We start from the raw sequence: 25,599 nt of genomic DNA, 5'->3' as shown, positions 1-25,599 counted from the left end.
AGGCGGAGGTTGCAGTGAGCCAAGATTGTGCCACTGCACTCCAGCCTGGGCAACAAGAGCAAAACTGTGTCTCAAAAAAAAAAAGATTGAAAAGTTTAAAAAAATCAAAAACTCTCAGATGATTCTAACATGCAGTCAGGCTTAGAGACCTACAGAGACCCTATAGGCTGAGGACCCTACAGAGCGAGGTGGGCCTCACAGTTGGGCACGGGTATCCAGACTGTTTAATGGACACCCCTCCTTAGGCCCAAGGGTTATACCCCGTCAACAGTATGGGAGAAGGTGGGCCTGCAGCCCTTACTTACGTCTTGGTGCTTCTTCTCAGACAGCGCTGTGCGGGGAGAGCGCAGGGACGAGTCTCAGGATGGGGAGAGGGCTGAGGAGGAAGCACCAACCCCACGGGGTAGCAGGGCCTGCCCCACTCCCAGTGCAGGCTCGCTTGTGAGGCCTGGGGAAAGGCACGGAGGAAGGGCCGTACTTGGAAGCTTTGGGTGCATATAGTCTTGAGCCCAGGGGTCACAGAAGTAGGGCTGGAGGAAGTCGATGTTGGCCTGGCCCGTCACGGTCTGCTGGCCGAAGGCCCAGTTGTCTACCACCTTCACCACGAGGGGCAGTGCATAGGCCTCCTCCGTCGGCATGAGCTGCAATCCCGAGGAGACGTGGGGAGCGTGAGACCCACAGAAGAAGAGGGCTGCCCAGCCCCTGCCCTGGGGCCTCTTACCACTGTGAGGACTAGGACAGACTCAGACTCGGGGAAGTTGGGGTTGGTCTGAAAGTCCCTGATGGGTTCTGTCCTCAGGGACTCTTCCCCGAATTCCACCAGGAGCTGGGGGGAGCTCGCCTTCTTCATGTTCCGAAGGCCCCAGGCCAGGATCTACCAGAACAAAGAAGGAGGGCAGGACAAGGGGCAGGCAGCGCCTCTGTAATGGGGTCCTGGCCAGAGAAGGGGGCTGAGGGGCAATAGCGGTGCAGCAGGAGCCTGCAGGGCCAGGGAATGGGGCTGCAGAGGAGCCAGTGTCTGAAGGCGCACAAGGACAGGCTTCCCCGTCCTGTGAGGGATCAGTGCTTGCCCTCGGGGCTGGGACGCTGTCCCCCAACCCATGAGGGAGGTGACCTCTGGCCACTGGCTGCATCCTCCACTGACCTCCATAGCCCGCAGGCATTGCCCCTCCTCACCCGCTGCCTTGTCTGGCCTCATCAGTTCTCAGGTAGGAGTTCCTGAAGCCGACTGCCTCTGAGGCCTGAAGAAGCAGGAAGTGCCTGGATTTCTCAGGGCCCCTGTGCCGTCTAGCTCATTGAGGACCCCATGGCCATTCAGTGACCTGGCATCCTGCCAGGAAATAGCTGCACCCTGACTTTGGGCCTCCTCGGGGCCTAAAGCGGGAACCAGCCAAGTTGCCTGATCTTGGGGAAGCCTTCAGTCCCAGAGGCCTGACCGTCTTGTGCTCTTTGCCACATTTGCGGCAGGGCACACAGCTTCTGAATGAGGACCCTCATGCTACTCTCAGAAGAGAGGTGAGCAACATCCTGGCATCTGCAGTCAGACAGGGCTGGGCCTAAATGGCCCTGTCAGTTAGTCCCTGCATCACTGTGCGTGGAATGTGTTATCTCTTGGAGCCTCTATTTCCTTCTCTGCAAAGTAGTTGCTACTGCGCAGGGGCAGCGTGAGTCCCACAAGTGATCATGCATGCTACAGCCCTTTGCCTACTCCTCACTGCAGAGGTTTGTGGTAAAATGATTTCCAGTGTTACACCAGAACCTCTTCGTTTCTCTCCTGTCTCCCTCCACCTCCCAGGTAGTCTTTTTCGGGGTGTGAGCTTTGGATCCAGTAGTCAGGGAGGACCAGCAGAAGGCTGCAGCGCACTCCAGACCACCCCCGCCTGTCCTGCCCACCGTCCCCATCCCACATCGCCAGCACCTCAATGGCCATCCTCTTTATCGTGGGCTGGATGCTCTTGGGGAGTGTGTATGCCCCATTCTTCCAGGGAACGCTTAAGATAGGCAGCTGCTTCTCTCCAAGCTTCTGGGGGAGGGCAGGGAGCATGAGGCCCTCTGGGCTGGTCCTGCTGCCCTCACCCTCACCTCAAGCAGGTCCCTCAGAGGCCTCACCGAGCCCAGAGCCCCATGGGTAGGGGCTGGCAGGGGGACTTAGGGGAGAGGCTGGTCAGGCCAGCGTCACCAAGCCCACAGCTCGGGATCCTGGGCCCCAGGCATTTCCTGACAGGGTGGAGTTGGCCCCCGCTGGCTGGGGGTGGGACGGGGAGGGGCACTGAGTGCCACACTTCCCAGCCAGGCCCTCTCTCCCAATACCTCAGTCTGGAGGATCAGCTCACAGGATGCCAAGATCTCGCCCTCTTCCTTCCCCAACTCCTTTACAAGGGGATGCCACCTCATGGGGGGCAGGATCCGGTCCTGGAGATCCAGCCAGACCATTGGGGGCCACACGCTCCGTCCCCACAAGCTCTCCTTGCCCTGGAGGGGGGAAGTTCACAAAGCATGGAGGCCATGCTGGCAGGGCCCAGCTCTGTCTGGGCTTCTCAAGGCAAGGGCAACAGCTGGCAGGTGAATTTCCATGGTGCTGTCTGCACGTCAGGCCTCATGGGAGCACTTTCCATACATTTTCATCTAAAATAAATCCCCTCAGCCACTCTGTGAGGTAGGTCCTCTTCCCCTTGCTCTGCCCAGCCCAACTTACCCAGAAGTCACGCTGCCACAGCTCCAGCACCACAAGCGGTGGGCTCTCTTTGGTGTCCTGTGGGTTCTCGTACAGAAGGAGGTGCTGGAAGATGAGTGTCTGGGCCCATGTGGGGCCTGCAGAGCTCCTCAGGGTTTGGGTGCACTGGCTGTGGTTCAGGAAGACCACCCGAATGAAGGGCCCTGGAGGGGTAGAGGAGAAGGTAGCAGTGTCTTGAGCTGGGAAGAGGGGCTTTCCTCTCCTCTGCTGCTGCAGCCACTGGACCCAGTGGGGCCCAGGAGGGTCAGGCAGGGCAGCCACTGAGGCCTCCCAGAGGCCCCCTCAGAGTCAGCTGCAGAGCACCGGGGCCTGTCACCAGAGGCCAGGCATCATCTGGTCCCATCCACGAGTTCTGTATGCCTCCCAGGGTTGAAGCCTGGGCCTCACAGAGATGGAGGGCAGGGGATCCTCTGGAGGAGTTCTAGGGACGAGGCCACTTGTGACTGCCCTTTTTTTTTTTTCTCTTTTTTTTTTGAGTCAGAGTTTCGCTCTTTCGCCCAGGCTGGAGTGCAGTGGCACATCTCGGCTCACTGCAACCTCTGCCTCCTGGGTTCAAGCAATCCTCCTGCCTCAGCCTCCCGAATAGCTGGGATTACAGCCGCCCGCCACCACGCCCGGCTAATTTTTGTATTTTTAGTAGAGACGGGGTTTCACCATGTTGGCCAGGCTGGTCTCGAATTCCTGACCTCGTGATCGGCCCACCTTGGCCTCCCAAAGTGCAGGAATTACAGGTGTGAGTCACCGCGCCCAGCTCTGTGGCTGCCCTTTCATGGCAGCAGCAAGTGGCCTGGCATCAGGGAGCGTCACATGGGCCTCTCGATGTGGGTGGTGAAGCCCAAGGGACACAGCTCCCTTGGAGCCCTGCCACCTACTGTCCCCACTCCCTACAAACAGCAATAAGGACCAGGCTGGAGCACATGGCTTGTCTCCTGAAACTTGCACTGGGGCGTCCTCACAGGACCAAGGACAGGCCCTCCCCACAGGCCCCTCCGCCTCTGTCCAAACACGAGTGATACATGGTTCCCAAGCATACTGCCCTCTCTCTTGCCCTCATGCCCCACTAGTAACTGCCAGACAAGCTCCTCCCTCTTCCATGCCCAGCTAAGTGGCCACCACTGGGATGGAGCCCTCTCAGCTCCCACTTCTAATTCCACAGCACTGGGGTCACGCCTCAAGAGCAGCCCTGCCTCGTAGTCTTTGTTTTGTGTCTTTTCCCCAAACCAGGACCATGAGCTGCTTGGGAGAGGGGTCTGCGTCTTTGTCACCCTCATCCATGCCCCTGTCTTTACACTGCTGAGCAGCTGACACCAGGACCCAGGGACAAGGCTTGCAGCTGGTGAGGGGCCGACAGGCAGGGGCCCTGGCTGGGACTGCAAGCAGGGCTGCCTTGGCTGCTGCAGGAACACAACCCTGCTCTCCTCCCTGAGGCCTTGTCCTCAGCTGGGGACAAGGCTGCCTGCCACCTACCTTGGAATGTCAGGATCTGATTGGACACCAGGTTCCGGGCCTGGTAGATGTAGCAGAAGAGCTGGTAGTAGTGGGGCTCTGGGGAAAGAGAAGCCATGCCTGTCACCTGCCCCAGGACCCCAGCGGCTCCCTCTGACTGCCCCCACCCTGTCCCCCCCCCCCGCCCTCGGGTACTGGCCTCTGGGGCCATTCAAGTAGACTCCCAAGTCAGTGCTTACTATTGAAGGTGCAGTAGATGAAGGGCAAGTTGGGGGGCCGGGTGTCCTGCCTCTGGGGGTCCCTGAACTGTCTGTCCAGACCCCATGGCCATGTCTTGCTGTCCTCTTCCTTCCCAGCGTGGTATTTCAGATCCATAGCCTGTACCCAGGACAGTCTCCCCTGAGGCTCTTGGGTGCTGCTCCTGTTTCCTCTAGCCCAGGCCCAGTCACCCTCCTCCCTCACACTGCCACCCTCGCAAGCCTGAGGAACAGAGGCCCTTCCTCCGCAGTCAGCGCCCCAGCCAGGCCAGGCCCTGGCTTCTCTGGGAGGTGGGGTTACAGGCAGGCATCACCCAGCCTGTGAGGCTTTACCAAGGACCCCTCCAGGAGGAATATGGGCGCGATGCCCTTGTCCTTGTTGGGGGCCAGCCTGCGGCGCCAGCAGCGGCGGCGGAACCGGCTCTGGGGCTGAGGGTTGAGGTGGAACTTGGAGCCGAAGGTGTCATACTCCCAGCCCTCCTCCTCGCCCTTGGCCAGGCCCTGTGGTGGGGAGGAGAGCAGGGTTGTGTTCCTGCAGCAGCCAAGGCGGCCCTGCCCGCAGTCCCAGCCAGGGCGCCCGTCGACCCCTCACCAGCTGCAGGAAGGAGAGGGTCTCCTGCTCGTGGCTCAGCTCCCCATGGTTCCTGAAGCGCACACGCGCCCAGCGCCGGCGGCGGCACGAGTGGTAGGTCTTCTCCACCGGGCTCCAGACCTGGGGCAGGCCCGACGGTGGGATCCCCACTCCATACTCCCAGCCTGCGGTGGGTGGACCATGGCCTCTGAGTCCTCAGGTGCCCGCAGGTTGGGAGGCCTGGACAAACCCGGGAGACAGGCCCTAGAGGGGCATTACTTCCCTCACATCCAGGTCTCTGGCCCTGAGGTGTGGAAAGGAGAGTGTGGCTACACTGTGTCACCTGAGTGGCCTGGGCCCAGCTGCCCAACTTACAAATGAAGCAGGTGAGACTCAGAGAAGTCCTGTGACTCGCACAAGGCCACACAGCCCATAAGCAGCAAAGCTTGCATCTTGAGCCCGGACCTTGAGACTTGCAGCCCATCATCATTCCTGCCCTGGAGCTGCTGTGGGTGAATTCAGCCATCACGTGATAGCCTCCTGTTCACCAGCATCTGCCACGCCTTGCTCTGGGCCAGGCTTCAGGACACACTGAGGGCCTGTGCTGTCTCAAAACTGGGGCCTATGTGTAAGGAAACGCTGGAGACCCAGCTCTGGAGGCCAGGGGGCCCCAGGAATTTAGGCGTATACCATGGAGGGCTTGGCTGCTCTGATCCCACCCTGCTGGCTGCCGTTATTTTGAGGCCCTGGTCTCTCCCGATCCCAACCCTGACCAAACGACTGACCCTTACTGTCCACTGCGTGGTTCAGCTCCACCACCCAGTCCTTCTTAAAGTGCCAGCCTTGGGGGCACTTCACGTTCTCCCGGGCCTCCATGGGCTGTCCATTCTGCAGGTGGACAGAGAGGGCGAGCGAGGGGCACATGAGCTGGGAGGAGGCTGCCCTCCCTCCCTCTTCCCACACCTGTGTGCGTGCCTGCTGTGGCCGCAGCAGCCTCCCACTCCAGGCCAGACTGTGCTTGCCACACCTCATACCACCAGAGCCATCACTGAATATGCTCCAAGGACCTGCCTTTCTGCGCTGGAAGCTGCTCCTCCTCATTGTAAAGGGGAGACTAGCATGCTTTTGAGATCAGTTAAACCCACACTACCCAATACAGTAGCCACCAGCCGCCTGGGGCTACTCTAGCTTAAATGAGTTAAAATTCAAAGTTTAATTCCTTCATCTCACTAGTGCCCCATTTTAAGCACTCAATAGCCACACGTGCAGATATAGAAGATTTCCATCATCACAGAAAGTTCTACTGGACAGTGCTGGGTTAGCCTACCCCAAGCAGATTCTCTCCTTCGGGGTAAGCAGCACCTTTGAAGGAGGCCTAGGAAGAAACATTGCCTCCCTTTTGTTGTTTCTCAGTCTTATTTAAGGTATTTCTACAAACCCCTCACCCCATCAGTGCTGAGAGAGAGTGCCTGAGGGCTGGTGCGCTCACCCGGGGCCCCACACATAGTGCAGGGCATAGGGCTCAGACCCTTTCCACTGGGACCCCCAGCTTCCAAGGCGCCCCGCCTGGTGGCCTTGCTTGCCCCCTAACCCGAGGCAGCTTCGGCCCTGCTCACCACGTCTGTGTTTGGGATGGCGGCAGGCCCCCAGGCCCCTCTGGTGTCACGGCCCTGGTTCTCATATACCTCCTCCAGCACCTGGCTCTTGTTGATGTCTATGTCCAGGAGGAGCCTGGGGGTAATGAGACCCCAAGTTCCCAGCACAACTCCCCAAGCAGCCCCTAGGGCCGTCTTCTGCTGGCCAAGCGTTCCCATACCTGGCATCCCATCCCCACCTGCTCTGGGCAGGACAGGGTGGTGGGCAGGGCCCTTGGCCTGGTGCACCTCGGCCCTCTGGCACCAGGCTTAGGGGCTAGGTACCCATCTTTCTGGGCTGCCGCGGACTGGCCCTCCCAGGTGAAGTGTCCCCTCTGGTGGGGCCTGCCCCCTCTGGCCTTACCTTCTCTGAGGTTCCACTGTCCAGCTGTCCTGCCAGTGCCATCCCAGGGGTGGTTGGAAATCCGTCATGGGGAGGGTCTTGTTCCCCATGACATCCGAGAAGTTGGGGCAGTGATACAGCCCCTGCTGCCCCCACTGGTCTTTATACTTGGCCTGATTCTCATACTAGGGGAGGGAAGCTTGTCAGGGCGGCCGCCTCCTCTAGCACAAAGTGCGGGGACATGGGCCTCCCCTGGGCCCCCTGACTCTGGGCTGCAGGGGCATCCTAAAAATGTGGTAGCCAGGCAAGAAAGGGCCATGTCCCCATTGCACAGGTGAGGGCACTGAGGCCCAGAGGTCAACCCTGCCCTGGATCATTCAGCTGGCAGAGTGGGGTGGATGCTGCATGTGTGGACAGAGATATCATAAGACATCTATGTAGTGCTTGGAGGCACAGAGGTGGAGAGGGGTCTGGGGTGAAGGGGAGGGAGCAGGGCCTGAGTGCTCAGCAGGGAGAGTGTGGTTGAAAAGGCCCAGAGGCAGCAATGGTGGTCAAGTGGTGCAGGAGGGCTAGGCTCCCCAGGGTCTGCAGTGACGAGGGAGCAGGGAGCTGGCATCAAAGGCACCAGCCCAGTCCTCCGGTGCCCGCTGAGCATGCAGGCCCTGCTCCCTGCCCCGCACCCTGAACTGCTCTCCACCTCTGCGCCTCCAAGACCTACGGAGCTGGTTAGACATATTATGATGTATCCATCTACACATGCAACTTAGACACTGCAAACGTATGTTTTAATTCAGTAAGTTAAAAAGCCTGACGCTCAAACCTTATTTCCCCTCTGCTGTTCATGTGGCTTCCTGAGCCATGTCCTTCCCCCGGGGAGCCAAGGACATCTCCCCTCCTCTGGTTCTAGAGCAGTCCCTGGCCACCGCCCGCCCACTCCCCAGGTTGATGGTTCTGTGGGCAGATGCCTCAGATCCTACTCCTCTACCATTCTAGGCCTTCACCTCCTGGGACCCCACTGGGGCCTGCAGGGGTCCCGGGCTGCCCTGTTGGTGATGGGTGAGGCCCCTGCAAGTCAGAGCCTTGCTCACTTCACGTGCTGTTGATGAACTAGGAGAAAGCTCGGAATAAACCTGCATCAGGGAGAGGGGGACCAGGCCCCGGAGGTCACTTAGTCGCCCCCTTTGTCTCCACACGTGTATGGAGCATCAACAAGAGACCAGAGCTGGCAGTGTCCGAGATTGCTTTAATCTCTGCCTCCTCCAGCAGACTATCTCCTAGCCCTCAGTTTCGGTCAGGAATTTTTTCTTCCTCTTCAGTGCAGGGCTACTGCAGCTACACCCTCCCTTCTCACGCCAAATCCCCTGCAGGGAGGCCATCTCTTCCCTACGAGGCCACCCTACCCCCACCCCCGCGTGCCTGCCCTGGCCTTGGGCTGCCGCTCACCACTCACCATCTCGGCGTACACCGCTGTGTCACCCTGGCGGAGCAGCTGCAGGTCCTTGCTGTCTGTGACATTGCCAAGCCACATGCAGACCCGGAGGTGAGCTGGGAGCACATCCTTCTGTCCTTCACCCTCTGGGTACTGAGCCAGAGGCCGATCGGTCCCACAGGGGCACTAAACACCCTGAACGCCACCCCGGCCACCCCCCAAGTGGGCTGTACCTGCCCCTTCCCCCCTGAGCCCTGGGAGCGGGGCCCTCACTGAGCTGAGTGCTGGAGCTGTAAGTGAATGGCATGGAGTTCTGTTCTGCCCTCCAGAGTGGGGTGGCTCCACCCTGGGAGCCATGAAGCAGAGAGGGTGGGAGTGCCTCACAGAGGGAGTAGCAGGGATGTTGACAATGGGACTGATGGACATTCCTTGTGTGCTTGTTATGGGCTGGCACTGTGCCAGTTGCCCAGTGTGCATCATAGTCCTGGATCCTCACACCCCACCATGAGAGGGCATGGTGATTGCCAGGCCCATTCTACAGAGCAGCATGCTGAGGGCTGGGCATGGCCAGGAGTTGGCCTAGGGCCACACAGAGCCAGGATTCATGTCTCAGGGGCTCTTGCGGGATGCGAAGGACTCTGGTGGTCATGGAAGGAGCCTTGCGTGTTGGTGGAGAGGGCAAAGGGCAGGTACAGTTGGGGCCAGGAAAGCCCAGAGTGTCCTTACTGTTGAGAGTATGGGCCAGAGAGAATGGATGCAGGAACAGGGGCCAGGGGCCAGGTGGCAAGGCGGCACCTTCTCCAGGAGGCAGTGGGGAGCCAGGGAGTCTCTGAAGGGGGAGGGAGTGGCCCCCACGTCCCCCCAGGGAGGATTAGAAGCAGGGAGGCCACTGTCACAGCCAGGGGTGGGGGTGGTGGTCAGGGTGTTTAGTCTTATTTATAGCTTGCATCTGATATGATGGGCTGGTACCAAACCTTATAGACATTAAATATTTTGGAGATCACCCCGTCACGGTCCAGGGAAGAGATGACAAGGGGCTGGACCAAATGGTGGCCATGAGGATGATAGAGGAGGTGGATTTGTTTTCTGTTTTTTTTTTTTTTTTTTTTTTTTGAGACGGAGTCTCGCTCTGTCACCCAGGCTGGAACAGTGTCACGATCTCAGCTCACTGCAACCTCCGTCTCCCAGGTTCAAGCGATTCTCCTGCCTCAGCCTCCCATGTAGCTAGGATTACAAGCATGCGCCACCATGCCCAGCTAATTTTTTTGTATTTTTAGTGGAGACGGGGTTTCACCAAGTTGGTCAGGCTGGGTCTCAAACTCCTGACCTCAGGTGATCCACCCGCCTCAGCCTCCCAAAGTGCTGGGATTACCTGTGAGCCACCGTGCCCAGCGAGGAGGTGGATTTGGGGAACATTTAGGAGGTACATGGACTTGGCATCACCCAACATGCTGACAGCCACAGACCCCTCTCTTCCTCTGGGGACTGTTTCAACCCCATTCCATGTGGTTAAGGGACCAGGAAAACAGGCCCCATAGGGGCTGCCCTGCGAGTTCAGGGGGCTCCCCTGGGGGCATTTCTCAGCCCTGTCCTCCCCTGAGGAGTCCCTGATTCCCACCTGTAGGAAGAGTGTCTGTATCTTCCCACAGAGCCTGCCGGAGTGCAGAGCCCCTGCCGGGGAGAAGAGGACGGAGTGGGCAGGCACCTGTGCATAGGCCACTCGCTGCTCCTTGGCCACCAGCCAAATCATCACGTCAGGGAGGCCCATCTGGGGCTGCCGAGGTGGGAGAATGTCAGGCCCTGCGCGGCTGGCTCCCAGCCCTGCTGCAGGCCAGTGTGTGCAGCACCCACCTCAGGGAGCACGGTGTTGAGGCGGTACAGCCAGTCCTCCGCTGTGGCCACCATGTCCTTGGGCTTGGCTTGCTTGGCCTTTTGGGCCAGTTCCTGCAGGAGGAGGCTGCGGAGCTGCCACCTCTTCCTGTCCAGGCTGGTGGCTTTGGGCTGATAGGTCATGCAGGGCAGAGGGCGCCTGTGGCCAGGACAGGGTAGCAGGGGCTGGACCTCTCTACTGCCTCCCAGTGTCACCATTCCTGCCCTGCCTTAGGCCAGCGTGCCCCTCCTGGCCTCAAGATCCTGCCCCCATCTGCTGCTAGCCTGGCCCAGGAGCCCTTCCCACTGCTCCATAGGAAGCCTGCTCGCTGTGTGTCCAGCCCTGGGTTCTCATCCAGTCCTCTCCCTTCCTCCCAGGGCCTGCAGGGAGGTGGGGCTATGTGGGCTTGTCTGGAGGAAGAGGACAGGCTGGCTTAAGAGGAGCCTCGGGTGTGGGTGTGGGGTAGCAGGGACCATTCTGATGGGGCGGTCAGGGGGCCTGAATGGGAAGGGAGAAGCGACTCTTGGGGTTTCCCGCTGGGGAGAGGTCTGAGCAGTGCTCCTCCCCGAGGAGGGCGGGGGGAGGTGTTCAGGGCACTGCGCTGAGTCCCCAGGCCCAGATCTGGCTCAGCTCCAGGCCAGCTGTATCCCGGAGTGCCCCTACTCCTACTTGCAGTCCTCTGCCAGCTCCCTCAGCAGTTTCTCCCACTGGTAGAGGAGAGCTGGATCCTTCGGATTCCGCGTGGATTTCAGGGTGTCCAGGTTGGCTTTCTGCCCAGCAGGAGAGAAATGGTGAGAGAGCCCGCCTCAGCATGGAGCCCAGCTGGACAGGCCACAGGGCTGATTGGCCCAAGATGTTTTCAGCCACGACCTTGGGAACTTTGAGGGATAACCTGGTGATATCAGTTCAAGGTTGTCCACAACTCCGAGGCTAGGAACCCCCCACATCCTTCCTGCTTCCCAACAGAAGAAACAGGTGGCAAGAAGCCGGGATGGGGTAAGACTGGGAAAGCAGTGCAGAGCCCTGACCTCCACATAGGCATGAGAAAGTCATGCCAGAGGTGCCAGCCCCAGGTGGCTCCCGAGAACTACACTCCCAACAGGCACTTGAGACAGTTTCTGATCTCACTCCTTCCAGCTTCTATGGTCTTATCTTCATGTCACCTCCATGCCTCCCCCAGATCCTGCCGAACTTCAGAAACCAGCACATTGCCGCGGCTTTGCAGGTTATTCCCTTCTACCCCCACCCAGCCCCCAACAAAATCCTATGCATTCTTCAAAACCCTGCTGATGTGTCATCTCCTTTGTGCACACCTCCTCTGACTATCCACTCTTCCTCTCCTCTCCCCATCTTCTCTCTCTGACCCTATAGCACCTGGTACCTGCATCTCCATCATAGCCCTAGTTGCACTGCACAGTCACTGCCTGCATGTCTAACTTCCCTAGACAGTGAGGACAGGGACTGTGTTTAATGATCTTTGTGTCTTCAGTGCCTACCCTGCTTCTGGCACATTCTTCTCAACAGTGTGGAATGAATGCATGAATGAGCTGTGTGACCAGTTTCCTGCCACTGTGATGCAGTTTCCCAAGTCTCCCAGCCACACTCTGAAACAGGTGTCTTCCCAGCATCGGCTCCCGCACCACTCACCAGGCGGTCCCGAGTGAAGTGGAGGAGGTTGAGGCAGTTCATGCGGAAGCTGACGTCCTCCCAGTTGGAGGTCACGGCCACGACAGGCTTGGTGTTGTACCAGGGCACATAATGGTAGATGTTCCCTGAGACACAGAGACACATGGAGGGATGGGGTGTCTGGGGGATTCTGGGAGGTCTCTTCTCACTGTGCTCCCTCCGAGGACCTCTCTGGACCACTGCACCCTCAAAGATGTGACCTGCTAACAATGCTGACTGGAGCCCTCCAGCTGGGAGGCTGGGCTGGGGCCCAACTGAGAATGTGAGAATGTGTGCACTTTGACCCTTCATTGTCACATGGCCTTCCAGAGTCCCCAGTTTCCAGTGGGAAAATCCAGGCTAGCAATGGGAAGCAGTTTCCCTGAGGTGGCATAGCCAGGCGGTCATAACGCAGGCGCCTAGCTCCAGAGCCCTGGGTTCTGAACCTCAAGCGAGATGCCAGGTGTAGGGGCACGGGGCACGCCTCTGGGTGGGACGGGGGCAGGGGGAACAAGTACAGATAAACACCCCCGATGGGTGCCACAGACTGGGTTCCCTTGCCATGTTCCTTATTGAAATGAGGTGGAAGTGAGACCAAACGTAGAGGATTCTGAACCGCACTGCTGCCGAGTTGGCCTTAGAGGCAGAAATCCACAGAAAACGAACATTTAACATGCAGAAAATCTGTGAGGCAAGCGAAAGCCAAAGCTGACTTTTGTTCTCCAAATTTCTGGAAAGTTCTTGGAGAACTTGTGCTTTTCTTTGGCGACTATGGGAGGAATGGGGGGCAGAAGAGAAAGCCTAGGGCTGACCAGGTGGGCAGTCTAACAGGGACCCATGTGCTACAGACTGGCTGTGTCCCCCCCGGAAAGGCATACTCAAGTCCCAAACCCCAGGACCTTAGCATCTGGCCTTATTTGGGCGGGGGGTGGGGGCTTTGCAGATGTAATGTGTTAGGATGAGGTCATACTGGAGCAGGGTGGGCCCTTAAGGACTGGGGTCCTTATAAGAAGGGAGACAGAGAGATGGCAGTTGAGTGAGGACAGACACAGGGAGACACTGTGCGAGAGCAGAGGCAGGATGCAGCTGTGAGCCCAGGAACACCAAGGACCACAGCAACCGCCAGAAACCAATGGCCAGATTCTCCCTCAGAGCCCTCGGCAGGGGTCAACACTGACACCCTGACTTTGAACTTCTGGCCTCCAGACCTATGAAAGAATGAGTTTCTGTTGTCTAAAACCACCTGGCTTGTAGTACTTTGTTATAGCAGTCATACACCATGCAGATCACGAACTCCAAACCCTAAGCCGTTGGGGCCGGGGAATGAGAACTGACCCATCACACAGGAGGGGACAGTGGGGAAGCTTGCCTGTCTCCAGTGTGGCTCTCTGGGTGAAGGGGAAGAAAATCTTCCCCAAAAGTTGTAGCAAGTGGGGCCTCACGGATGTTGGCATTCGGTGCTTATGTTATCTGTGTAGCCTGAAGAGTGTCCAACAAAAAATTTAATTTAAAGTGGTCTCAAGTAGTTTGTTACCAGCCTGGGTAACACAGAGAGACCCTGTCTCTAATTAGCCAACCATGGTGGCTCATACCTGTAGTCCTAGCTACTCAGGAGGCTGGGGTGGGCTTGAGCCCAGGAGTTTGAGGCTACAATGAGCCATGATCATGCCACTGCATTGCAGCCTGGGTGACAGAGTGAGACCGTGTCTCAACCAATCAATAAAACAAAGTGGTCATAAATAAATAAATAAAAATAAAGTGGTCCCTGCTTGGCAGTGTCCCAGGTAACTGGAAGAAGCAAGCCAATCCTCTCTGGAGAATGAAACTTTAGCCAGACCTCAGAGAATGCCCACAAAGTTCCAAGAAAGTGAGCAGCTGAGAACCAGTGTACATAGTCCTAACCCATCAACTCCGCTCCTGTATATGCCCAACAGAAGGGCATATACAGCATCAGTGAGACACATGGAGAAAATGTTCATAGCAGCTCTCATCATAATAGCCAAAAGTTGGAAACAGCCAAAATATCTCTCAAAAAATCTCTTGGCCGGGTGCGGTGGCTCACGCCTGTAATCCCAGCACTTTGGGAGGCCAAGGCGGGAGGATCACCTGAGGTCTGGAGTTTGAGACCAGCCTGGCCAACATGGCGAAACTCTGTCTCTACTAAAAATATAAAAAAAGAATTAGCCGAGTGTGATGGTGGGCAGCTGTAATCCCAGCTACCTGGGAGGCTGAGGCAGGAGAATCACTTGAACCCAAGAGGCACAGGTTGCAGTGAGCCGAGATTGCACCACTGCACTCCAGCCTGGGCAACAGAGCCAGACTCCACCTCGAAAACAGCAACAAAAAAGGGCCAGGCATGGTGGCTCACACCTGTAATCCCAGCATTTTGGGAGGCCGAGGTGGGCAGATTACCTGAGGTTAGGAGTTCAAGACCAGGCTGAGCAACATGGTGAAACCCCGTCTCTATTACAAATATGAAAATTAGCCAGGAGTGGTGGTGTGCACCTGTAATCCCAGCTACTTTGGAGGCTGAGGCAGGAGAATTGCTTGAACCCGAGAGGTGGTGCAGTGAGCCGAGATAACGCCACTGCACTCCAGCCTGGGCAACAAAGTGAGACTCCTTCTCAAATAAATAAATAAATAAATAAATAAATAAATAAAATAATCTCTCAAAAATCTCTCAGTAGTAGAAAGGATAAATTATGGTATGTTCACACAATAGAATAATACACAGCAGTCAGTGAATGAGCTATGACTATACCCTATGTCATCTGGATCTATGAACACACTGCACAAATAGAACAGTGAGCAAAAGAAACCACGATATGATTTTTTATATCATATCAAAACCATATATCAAATGTACAAATTATCTTTAAAAAATAATAATTATTATTTTTTAAAGAGAACACTGGTTCTCAGCTGCTCACTTTCTTGGAACTTCGTAGGCATTCTCTGAGGTCTGGCTAAAGTTTCATTCTCCAGAGAGGATTGGCTTGCTTCTTCCAGTTACCTGGGACACTGCCAAGCAGGGACCACTTTATTTTTATTTATTTATTTATGACCACTTTGTTTTATTGATTGGTTGAGACACGGTCTCACTCTGTCACCCAGGCTGCAATGCAGTGGCATGATCACGGCTCATTGTAGCCTCAAACCCCTGGGCTCAAGCCCACCCCAGCCTCCTGAGTAGCTAGGACTACAGGTATGAGCCACCATGGTTGGCTAATTAGAGACAGGGTCTCTCTGTGTTACCCAGGCTGGTAACAAACTACCTGAGACCACTTTAAATTAAATTTTTTGTTGGACACTCTTCAGGCTACACAGGCTACATATATATACAAACCATGATATCAAAAGAATACACCATATGATTTTTAATATAATAATAATAATTATTTTTTAAAGAGGCAGGGCAACGGCGGCTCACGCCTGCAATCCCAATGCTTTGGGAGGCTGAGGCCAGGAGTTCAAGGCTGCAGTGAACTATGGTCATGCCATGGAGGTGAGGAGTGGCTGTAGTTAAGCAAAGTGTTTTGGGCTGCATTTATGTGTGCTTGATACTTGTTCCTTTTGATCCAAATGATCTAGAGGGCCTTGGTGGGGTGGGGTGGGCACAGGGGCCTCTGGAGTGCTCCAGATCCGTGATCTGAGTGCTATTACAAGGGCATGTTTGCTTTGTGATAATTCACTGAGCTTGACACTTTGGTTTGTGTACTTTTCCATAGGTATGTTCTACTTGAAAGTTTACTTAAGAAATTAAAAAACAGTGGGGCAAAACACCCAAAATCAGTATGTAAAATACAGTGTGTCAAAGATGGAAAATGCTAAGGAGATAAGTGGGGAAGGGAAAAAGGGAGATGCCGAGTAATTTAAATAGAATGGTCACCTAAGGACTTTCTATGAAGATCTAGAAGAAATCATCTAGAATGCAGCCCAGAGAGAGGACAAGATGAAAAATATGGAAGAGATTTAAAAATATGAAGGACAGAATGAGAAGGTCCACAGAGGACAGAGTGAGTTCCGGAAGGAGATACAGTGGGGAAGAGGTAATTTTCAAAGGGAAAATATAGTTTTCCGGGATTTTTGGAAGACACTAGTTTCAGACCCTGGCCTTTGAGTGAAAGACTGGAATGATAAATAAGCAGAGATGCATGCCTGGGGCTCTCAGTGTGAGGATACACAACAGCAATTTTCCTCTCCTACTCTTGGAGAACTTACAAAAGCAACAAGCAGAAGGAAAATAACTCAGTTTTCAGCAAACCAAGGAGACAGATATAATCTGCAGACTCAAAATACACGTAAGGACTGCCAAAAGCAACTGTGACCGCCACCGAAGCCAAGGGGTGAAGCGCAGCAGCAGCAGCCACCTGCGGGACACGACTAGCAAGACAGACAGCGGGAAGCATGCTGAGTAGGGGCAGATTGCAGAAAGTGCCAGCAAAAACACACTCCCTGAAGGAGCTCAGGAGCTTATGAGGCAATGTGAGCCCGTAAACTTCAGAAAACAAGTAGAAGAAAAAACAAAAACAGAGATGGGAAGGTAACATAAGTAGTCCACGGGAGATTAGATGCTGCAGACAATTCAGTGAGGGGCATGGAAATAAGGATAGAAATAAGAAAAGTAACCGAAATGAAATGGAAAGAATAGGTCAAAAAAGGATCAGGGAGAAAATGACAGATACAGATAAAACCAAGGAGAATCACTAAACCCATAAATGGAGCCTCTGATGTAGAAAATTAAACAATGGAACAGAGTAAGTATTTTAACATGTAACCTAGGAAAACACATGAGGAAAGGATGGTCTTTTTAACAAATGTTGCTTGAACAACTGGATATTCACATGCAAATTAATTCAAAATGAATCATACAGATAAGTGTAAGAGGTAAAACTGTAAAAACTACAGGTGTGGCCGGGTGCGGTGGCTCACGCCTGTAATCCCAGCACTTTGGGAGGCTGAAGCGGGTGGATCACGAGGTCACGAGATCGAGACCAGCCTGACCAACATGGTGAAACCCCGTCTCTACTAAAAATAGAAAAATTAGCTGGGCGTGGTGACACGCGCCTGTAATCTCAGCTACTCAGGAGGCTGAGGCAGGAGAATTGCTTGAACCTGGGAAGTGGAGGTTGCAGTGAGCCGAGATTGTGCCACTGCACTCCAGCCTGGTGAGGGAGCGAGACGCCATCTCAAAAAAAAAAAAAACTATAGGTGTGTGTCGCCATGCCCAGCTAATTTTTTAAAAAATTTCTGTAGGATCTCGCCATGTTGCCCAGGCTGGTCTTGAACTCCTGGGCTCAAGTGATCTGCCTCAGCCTCCCAAAGTGTTGGGATTACAGGCGTGAGCCACCACACCCAGCCAAAACTAGAAAACTTAGAAGAAAAAATAGGAGAAAAATCTTCACAATCATGAGTTAACCAAAGAGTTCTTAGCTATAACACCATAAAAGAAAAAATAAATTGGATTTTATCAAATTAAAAATGTTGGCACTTCAAAAGACACTACTAAGAAAATGAAAAGACAAGCCACAGACAATTTGCAAATCACATATCTGGTACAGGACTTGTATGCAGAATATATAATGAATTATTGCAACTCAATAATAAGAGAAACAATGCAATTTAAAAACAGGCAACACATTTGAATAGACATATCACTAAAGAAGATAAATGAATGGTTAATGAGCACATGAAAAGATGTGGCCAGGCACAATGGCTCATGCCTGTAATCCCAGCACTTTGGGAGGCCAAGGTGGGTGGATTGCTTGAGCCCAGGAGTTCAAGAACAGCCTGGACAAAATGGAGAAACTCCGTCTCTACTAAAAATACAAAAATTAGCCAGGTGTGGTGGTGCGTGCCTGTAGTCCCAGCTACTTGGGAGTCAGGTGGGAGGATCACCTGAGCCCTGGAAGCACAGGTTGCCATGAGCCCGTGATTGCACCACTGCACTCCAGCTTGGGTGTCAGAGCGAGACCCTGTCTCAAAGAATAGAAAATAAAAATAGGCTGAGTGCAGTGGCTCACACCTGTAATCCCAGCACTTTGGGAGGCCGAGGTGGGTGGATTGCTTGAGCCCAGGAGTTTTGAGACCAGGCTGGGCAACATGGTGAAACCCTGTCTCTACGAAAAATACAAAATCTAGCCGGGCGTGGTGGCACATGCCTGTAGTCCCAGCTACTTGGTGGGGCTGAGGAAAGAGAATTGCTTGAACCCGGGGGGCGGGCGGAGGTTGCAGTGAGCTGGGATTGCCCCACTGCACTCCAGCCTGGGTGTCAGAGCGAGATTCGGTCTCAAAAAATAAATCAATAAATAATAAAAATTAAAAAAAAAAAGGTGCTCAGTGTCATTACATGAAATGCAGATTAACACAACGATGAGCTGCCACTGTGTGCCTACTATACTAAATAAAGACAGATGATAAATGAGAAACTGAAATCATCTTACATTTCTAGGAGAATATAAAATGGTGTGGCCACTTTGGAAAAGCTTGGCAGTTTCTTAAAAAGCCATTCCACTTAAAGACTTGTATACGAATGTTCACAGCAGCTTTATTCTTTTTTTTTTTTTTTGAGACGGAGTTTCGCTCTTGTTGCCCAGGCTGGAGTGCAATGGTGTGATCTCAGCTCACTGCAACCTCCGCCTCCTGGGTTCAAGCAATTCTCCTGCCTCAGCCTCCTGAGTAGCTGGGATTACAGGCATGTGCCACCATGCCCGGGTAATTTTGTATTTTTAGTAGAGACGGGGTTTCACCATGTTGGTCAGGCTGGTCTCGAACTCCCGACCTCAGGTGATCCACCCGCCTCAGCCTCCCAAAGTGCTAGGATTACAGGAGTGAGCCACCGTGCCCGGGCAGCTTTATTCTTAATAGCTAAGAGGTGGGAACAATGCCCATCAACTGATGAATGGATTAACAAATGATGGATGGTACACCCATACGATGGAATACTATTTGGCAATGAAAAGGAATGGAGAACTGATACACACTGCATCATGGATAAACCTGGAAAACATTACGCCAAGTGAAGGAAGCCAGATGCAAAAGATGACATATTGTATAATTTCATTTATATGAAACATCCAGGAAAAGTAAATATGCAGAGACAAAAGTAGATTAATAGTTGTGTGGACCTGGGGGTGGGGACAGGGGAGTCACTACAAAGCAAGAGAATTCTGTGGTATGTAAATTACATCATTAAATAGATTACTAACAAAATAAGATTTTACTCATCAACATAGATGCAAAAGCCTCAACAAAATATTAGCAAGCCAATTCCAGAATGTATAACAAAGATAGGACGGGCATCGTGGCCCACGCCTGTAATCCCAGCACTTTAGGAAGCTGAGGCGAGCGGATGACCTGAGGTCAGGAGTTCGAGACCAGCCTGGCCAACGTGGCGAAACCCTATCTCTACTAAAAATACAAAAATTAGCTGGGCGTGGTGGCACACTCCTGTAATCCCAGCTACTGGGGAGGCTGAAGCAGGAGTATCACTTGAACCCGGGAACCCAAGAGGCAGACCGCCGCACTCCGGCCTGGGCGACAGAGTGAGACTCCGTCCCAAAAATATTTAAAAAAAGGTATAACAAAGATAATGTAAGGTATCAATGCAATTATACTGTAATTAATTGCATGGTATATTACATATAATAAAACAATTATTTCTGTGAGGTGGCATATTATTAACTCAAAGTAGACTATGATGAGTTAAGGGTCAATATTGTAATTCCTTGAGCAACCACTAAAAATAATCCAAAGATACATATTGTCAATAGATAGAATGTAATACTAAAAAAAAAAAAAAACAAAAAATACCTGATGAAAACGAACACAGGAAATTCCAGTGGCCTTTTTTGTAGAAATTGTTGAGCTTATGCTAAAATAGGAAAATGGGAAGTAACCCATTTTCAACAAAAGTCCAACCCAAAGACTTGTACAATAGCCAAAATTATTTTGTAAAAGAACAACTAGGCCGGGCCCAGCGGCTCACGCTTGTAATTCCAGCACTTTGGGAGGCTGAGGTGGGCAGATCACCTGAGGTCGGGAGTTTGAGACCAGCCTGATCAACATGGAGAAACTCCATCTCTACTAAAAATACAAAATTAGGCATGGTGGCGCATGCCTGTAATCCCAGCTACTTGGGAGGCTGAGGCAGGAGAATTGCTTGAACCCAGGAGGCGGAGGTTGTGGTGGATAAGGATAGGCAAATAGATCAATAATATGGTTAACTGATTTTCAACAAAGGTGGCAAAGTAATTCAATGTGGGACTGAATTACTGAATTACTTTCAGGCAAATGGTGCTCCACTGGTTATCTGTATAGAGAAAAATAATCTCAATTCCTCCCTCATACCATATGCAAAAATTAAGTCAAATTGGATCATAAACCCAAACAAAAAAGATAAAACGATAAAGCTTGTAGAATGAAACAGAGGAGACAATTTTCATGATCTTGAGATAGACAGATATTTCTTAGACCACATAATCTACTAACTATAAAATTGATAATCAACCGGGCTGAGCGCAGTGGCTCACACTTGTAATACCAGCACTTTGGGAGGCCAAGTGGGGTGGACTGCTTGAGCTCGGGAGTTTGAGACCAGCCTGGGCAACATGGTGAAATCCCACCTGTATGAAAAATTAGCTGGGCGTAGTGGTGCTAGCCTGGGCCACATGGTGAGACCCTGTCTCCATAAACAATTTTAAAAATAGGCTGGGCACAGTGTCTCACGCCTGTAATCCTAGCACTTTGGGAGGCCAAGGCGGACAGATCACTTGAGGTCAGGAGTTCAAGGCCAGCCTGGCCAACATGGCAAAACCCCATCACTACTAAAAATACAAAAATTAGCCGGGCATGGTGGCAGGCGCCTGTAATCCCAGCTACTTGGGAGGCTGAGGCAGGAAAATTGGTTGAACCTGGGAGGTAGAGGTTGCAGTGAGCTGAGATTGTACCATTGCACTCCCTCCTGGACAACAGAACAAGATTCCATTTCAAAAAAATTAATTAATTAATTATTTTTTTAAAAAAGGCTGGGCAATATCAAGTACTGGTGAGAAGGTAGAGTAATAGGAACTCTCATACCATGCTGAGGAGAGTGTAATTTGGTATAATCACTTTTGCTTTGAGTTTCTTTTCCACCCATAGGTATATAATTTAGAGGAAGTCTTGCACTTGTAACCAGGAGACATGCACAAGAATGTTTATAACAAAATTATTATAATAGCAAAAAAAGATACAACCTAAATGCCTACATATAGCACACACTTTGTGGTATAATCACACAGTGGAATTTATGCAGAAGTGAAAATGAACTGCAGTACACATACCCACATACAAAGTTTAATGTTGAGCAGAAGATTTAAGACAGATGAATACAGACCGAAAGAGTCCATTTATGTAAAATATAAAAACAGTATCATGTTTAGGATTTCATTCACAGGTGAAGAATTAAAAAGAAAAGCAAGAAGGTGATTAATACAAGAGTCAGGGTCATGGTTACTTGTTGGGTGAAGGAATCTGGGAAGAGCAAACAGGGACCCTTTCTAAGATGCTGATAGTTTTCTATATTTTAAGCTGGGTGGTGAGTTCATGGGTACTCATTTTATTATTTTTTTTTAGTTTTTGGTTAAACAGGGTCTCACTCTGTCACCCAGGCTGGAGTGCAGTGGTGCGATCTTGGCTCACTGCAACCTCTGCCTCCCAGGCTCAGGTGATCCTCCCACTTCAGCCTCCCTCATTTTATTATTCTTCTTTAAACTATACATACACATTTCATATGCTTTTTTTTAAATATTTCATAATACTAAAATCAAGTAGACATGCTAAGTGAAAGCCATTGACAAAGAACCACATATTATATGTTCCATATATGATATGTCTGGAATAGGAACATCTACAATCACAGAAAGTAGATGCCCGGGTGCGGTGGCTCACGCCTGTAATCCCAGCACTTTGGGAGACCGAGATGGGTGGATCACCTGAGGTCAGGAGATCTAGACCATCCTGGCTAACATGGTGAAATCCCGTCTCTACTAAAAATACAAAACATTAGCCAGGCGTGGTGGCATGTGCCTGTAGTCCCAGCTACTCGGGAGGCTGGGGCAGGAGAATCGCTTGAACCCGGGAGGCGGAGGTTGCAGTGAGCCGAGATCGCACCACTGCACTCCAGCCTGGGCAACAGAGAGACATTCTGTCTCAAAACAAAACAAAACAAAAAACAGAAGAAAGATTAGTGGTTGCCTAGGGCTGGGGAGGTGGGAGATAAATGGGGGGTGACTGCCAATGGGCATAGGGTTCCTTTTCCGGATGAGGAAATGTTCTAAAATTGATTGTGGTGATGGTTGTACGACTCTGTGAATATACTAAGAAACTATTGTACAAACTGAAATGGGCAAATTGTATGGCTTGTGAATTATATCTCAATAAAGCTTTTTTAAAAGACAGGTAGGGAAGTGGGATGCCCAGAAAGGCTCAGAATGGGTGATGAGACAGTAAAGATGAAAAAGATGAAAGTGAGACAGCAGTGCTCTGCAGCAGTGGTACTCAAACTGGAGCATGCACCCCAGTCACCTGCAGGGCCTGATAAAACACAGACTGTGGGGCCTCTTCCCCAGGTTATTGGATTCTCTAGGGCTAGCGTGGGGTCAAGAATCTGCATTTCTAACAAGTTTCCAGGTGATGCGGATGCTGCTGGCCCAGGGCTTGCTCTCTGAGAGCCGCTGCTCTATAGTGCCCAATATAGGTGTGCAATAAGTATATATTGGATGAGTGAATGAACGGCTGGAGGGGTAGTTGGTTGGATGTTGGGGTAAGTGGGTGGGTGGGAGTTGAGTGGCTGAATGGATGGATAAAAAATAGATGGATGCGTGAATTGGTGGGTGGAGGATGGATGGATGAGAGGTGGTTCAGAGTAGGGGAAAAGATGGGGTTGGTGAAGTTGTAGTGTGGAAAGCAGTGTAGAGAAGGACTTCATGTCAAGACCTAGTTTCAACTCATGGGTTCACCACCTGCTAGCTATAGTTTGGCAAATGACTTCACCTCCCTGAACCTCATTTTTTCATGTGTGAAATATAGGTAAATAATGCCTATGAATCTTCCATGAGCTAATACCCCTGAGAGAGCCTAGCACAGGGCCTGGCATGCAGTGGCTGCTCTCTACTTATTGCCTGAATCTGACAATTACCATCATATATCACTGGGCTGTACGGTGTGCTTGAGACTAGAGGCTTGTAATTCAGGTCCATCTTGTTCCCATAGTGACCGATGCTGACCTCGAAATGGATCAGCTCTTTAAAGTTGGGCATCATGGTACAGGAAAGGAAGATGACGCACAGCCCATACTTTTGGCGGTTCTGGTGCTTCTGAAACAATAACCGCCCCCACCCCCCATACCCAGTACATAAGCCAAGGGTTATATTGACAGGCAGGGAGGCAAGGATGAGGTATCTTTCTTTCAAAGCCATCTTCCCTTCTCTCCCTCTCAAAGGCCTTCAGAGGCTCCCTCGCACCCTGCTGATCCAGGGCAGTTCCTCCAGGACTTCCATCATCTGGCCCCTCCACCCAGCCAGCCCTGGCTCCCTCCCTTCCTGAAATCAGGTGGCTGGGGAGGGGGGTGGTCTCCTCCCTTGTTAGGGTAGGCTCTGAGTTGGGCCACCCCATCCCCATTCCAAGTAGAGATGCTTCCTCCTTTTTGCCTAAACCCTTTCCCCCAGAAGACACAATGTGGATAGGGGTGTAGGGCTGAGGTTTTACACACACACACACACACACACACACATTCATACTCCCAGAAAGGTTGAACCTTCCCACTTCCTGCTCCAGCTGCCCACTATGCCCCCAACTTCGGCTGTTCTCACCAAGTGCTTTCTTGGGCCTCCTGTCCATTGTATCAGCCCCTCTTGTTTCTGTTGCCAACCTCTGCCCCATTCTTGCATTCCCCCGGTCTGTTCACTAGCTCAGGTTTCCCCTATTGAAAAAAAATAACTTTCCTTCTCCCATCTGAACCCCTATTTAGCTACCACCTGTTCTCATTTCCTTTCACGTTAAAAAAATTTACTTTTGAGGCCAGGCGTGGTGGCTCATGCCTGTAATCCCAGCAGTTTGGGAGGCTGAGGCGGGCGGATCACAAGGTCAAGAGATCAAGACCATCCTGGCCAATGTGGTGAAACCCCATCTCTACTAAAAATACAAAATTAGCCGGGCGTGGTGGTGGATGCCTATAATCCCAGATACTCAGGAGGCTGAGGCAAGAGAATTGCTTGAACCCAGGAGGTGGAGGTTGTGGTGAGCTGAGATCGCCCCATTGCACTCCAGCCTGGGCAACAAGAGCAAAACTCCATCTCAAAAAAAATTTTTTTACTTTTTTTTTAGAGATGTGGTTTCACTATGTTACCCAGGCTGGTCTCAAACTCCTGGGGCTCAAGTAATCCTCCTATCTCAGCCTCCCAAGCCCAGCTTTTCAATCAGGTTTCTTAGAAGGTTTGTCTCTGTGCACTGGCTCCTACCTCTCCCTCCCATCTATGGCAGCCCAGCTTCTCTCCTGACCTAAGGCTACTGACATCTTCCTAATAACCAGCAGATATCTCTCAGTCCTCGCCCTTTCTCTCTGCCACATTCAAGATTGCTGGTCACTCCTTTCTGCAAATCTCCACTCCTGAGTCCGCCTCTGCAGGCTCCTGTCCAACCGCTTCTGCAAATCCCTTCTCCTCTTTCACCTGCCTCTTAGACTGTGGCATCCTCATAGCTTCCCTCTCCTTTCATTCCACCTACTCTCCTCAGGCAATTTCTTCCACTACCACAGGTTCAAACCTTGGTGTGTTGATGTCACATCCCTGTGTCTAGTAGGCTCCAGAGCTGGTCTATGTGGATGTCTTACATCACATGTCAGAGATGGGTTTCATCATTTCCCTCATATCTGCTCCTTCTTTAGAGAGCCCACCTTGGTGCATTGCACCCCTGACCACCTCGTCACCCATGGCAGAAAATGGGCCTCAGTAAGGGGAGTCAGCCTCACTTACGTTCTGTTGGTCACTGGCTCTGGCCATTCTGTTTCCAAAGGGTCTCTGAAACCTACCCACCTCCTCTCTAGCTCTCTGCCAGCAAGGCTGTATTCCTGTTTCTCTTGACTGGGTGACCCCAACTTACTCTCCTCCAGTCCATTGCTACTGCTCCTCCTGCCCCTTCCTGCCTCAGTAAGTAGCCCTCCACTGGCTTCAGGAAGAAACCCAAATCCCTTAGATTGTTTTACAAAGCCCTGAGAAACTAGGTCACGAATTAACACAATTTCTCCTTAACCATATCAGGGATTCCTTTTTTTTTTTTTTTTTTTTTTGAGATGGAGTCTCACTCTGTCACCCAGGCTGGAGTGCAGTGGCATGATCCTGGCTCACTGCAACCTCCACCTCCTGGGTTCAAGAAATCCTCCTGCCTCAGCCTCCGAAGTAGCTGGGACTACAGGCGCAAGCCACCATGCCTGGGTAATTTTTGTATTTTTTTGGTAGAGATGAGGTTTCGCCATATTGGCCAGGCTGGTCTCAAACTCCTGACCCCAAGTGATCTGCCCGCCTGAGCCTCCCAAAGTGCTGGGATTACAGGTGTGAGTCATCGTGCCCGGCACAGATTAGGCATTTTATTTTTTATTTTTTATTTTTTTCA

General features: G+C 52.2%; 1 protein-coding gene across 20 annotated transcripts in view, besides 4 other annotated features; it reads right to left on the bottom strand.

Annotated features, from left to right (window-relative positions):
* FER1L5 (fer-1 like family member 5) overlaps positions 1-25,599 on the bottom strand; it is a 62,120-nt gene that overhangs the window by 8,501 nt on the left and 28,020 nt on the right. For 8 of the 20 annotated variants that reach the window (XM_011512110.3, XM_011512122.3, NM_001293083.2 and 5 more), the window contains 19 exons: positions 23,129-23,306; positions 11,932-12,056; positions 10,954-11,054; positions 10,266-10,443; positions 10,033-10,188; positions 8,436-8,567; positions 7,007-7,170; positions 6,625-6,739; positions 5,794-5,896; positions 5,030-5,193; positions 4,771-4,938; positions 4,420-4,558; positions 4,202-4,279; positions 2,696-2,877; positions 2,311-2,472; positions 1,919-2,023; positions 722-874; positions 479-641; positions 306-331 (listed from right to left, as the gene is read on the bottom strand). In XM_011512110.3, the coding sequence (XP_011510412.1) occupies positions 306-331; positions 479-641; positions 722-874; positions 1,919-2,023; positions 2,311-2,472; positions 2,696-2,877; positions 4,202-4,279; positions 4,420-4,558; positions 4,771-4,938; positions 5,030-5,193; positions 5,794-5,896; positions 6,625-6,739; positions 7,007-7,170; positions 8,436-8,567; positions 10,033-10,188; positions 10,266-10,443; positions 10,954-11,054; positions 11,932-12,056; positions 23,129-23,306 (2,592 nt within the window). Of the gene's footprint in view, positions 1-305; positions 332-478; positions 642-721; positions 875-1,144; positions 1,242-1,918; positions 2,024-2,310; positions 2,473-2,695; positions 2,878-4,201; positions 4,280-4,419; positions 4,559-4,770; positions 4,939-5,029; positions 5,194-5,383; positions 5,677-5,793; positions 5,897-6,624; positions 6,740-7,006; positions 7,171-8,435; positions 8,568-10,032; positions 10,189-10,265; positions 10,444-10,953; positions 11,055-11,931; positions 12,057-23,128; positions 23,307-23,801; positions 24,059-25,599 lie in introns of those variants that run through there. The other 12 variants (XM_011512111.3, XM_011512114.3, XM_011512124.3 and 9 more) reach the window with 11 other exon arrangements.
* Positions 355-898: an enhancer, noted in NCBI's record as "H3K4me1 hESC enhancer chr2:97361222-97361765 (GRCh37/hg19 assembly coordinates)". NCBI's record gives its function as "activates a minimal SCP1, AML or CMV promoter by ChIP-STARR-seq in primed H9 embryonic stem cells {active_cell/tissue: H9 hESC(primed)}" and the evidence as "EXISTENCE:reporter gene assay evidence [ECO:0000049][PMID:30033119]".
* Positions 899-1,443: an enhancer, noted in NCBI's record as "H3K4me1 hESC enhancer chr2:97360677-97361221 (GRCh37/hg19 assembly coordinates)". NCBI's record gives its function as "activates a minimal SCP1, AML or CMV promoter by ChIP-STARR-seq in primed H9 embryonic stem cells {active_cell/tissue: H9 hESC(primed)}" and the evidence as "EXISTENCE:reporter gene assay evidence [ECO:0000049][PMID:30033119]".
* Positions 2,162-2,663: an enhancer, noted in NCBI's record as "H3K4me1 hESC enhancer chr2:97359457-97359958 (GRCh37/hg19 assembly coordinates)". NCBI's record gives its function as "activates a minimal SCP1, AML or CMV promoter by ChIP-STARR-seq in naive H9 embryonic stem cells {active_cell/tissue: H9 hESC(naive)}" and the evidence as "EXISTENCE:reporter gene assay evidence [ECO:0000049][PMID:30033119]".
* Positions 9,740-10,465: an enhancer, noted in NCBI's record as "H3K27ac-H3K4me1 hESC enhancer chr2:97351655-97352380 (GRCh37/hg19 assembly coordinates)". NCBI's record gives its function as "activates a minimal SCP1, AML or CMV promoter by ChIP-STARR-seq in naive H9 embryonic stem cells {active_cell/tissue: H9 hESC(naive)}" and the evidence as "EXISTENCE:reporter gene assay evidence [ECO:0000049][PMID:30033119]".

This window comes from Homo sapiens, chromosome 2, assembly GCF_000001405.40.
Source record: "Homo sapiens chromosome 2, GRCh38.p14 Primary Assembly".
NCBI lineage: Eukaryota > Metazoa > Chordata > Mammalia > Primates > Hominidae > Homo > Homo sapiens.
The sequence above is the reverse complement of the archived record's forward strand: the minus strand, read 5'-3'. Positions and strand labels throughout refer to the sequence as shown.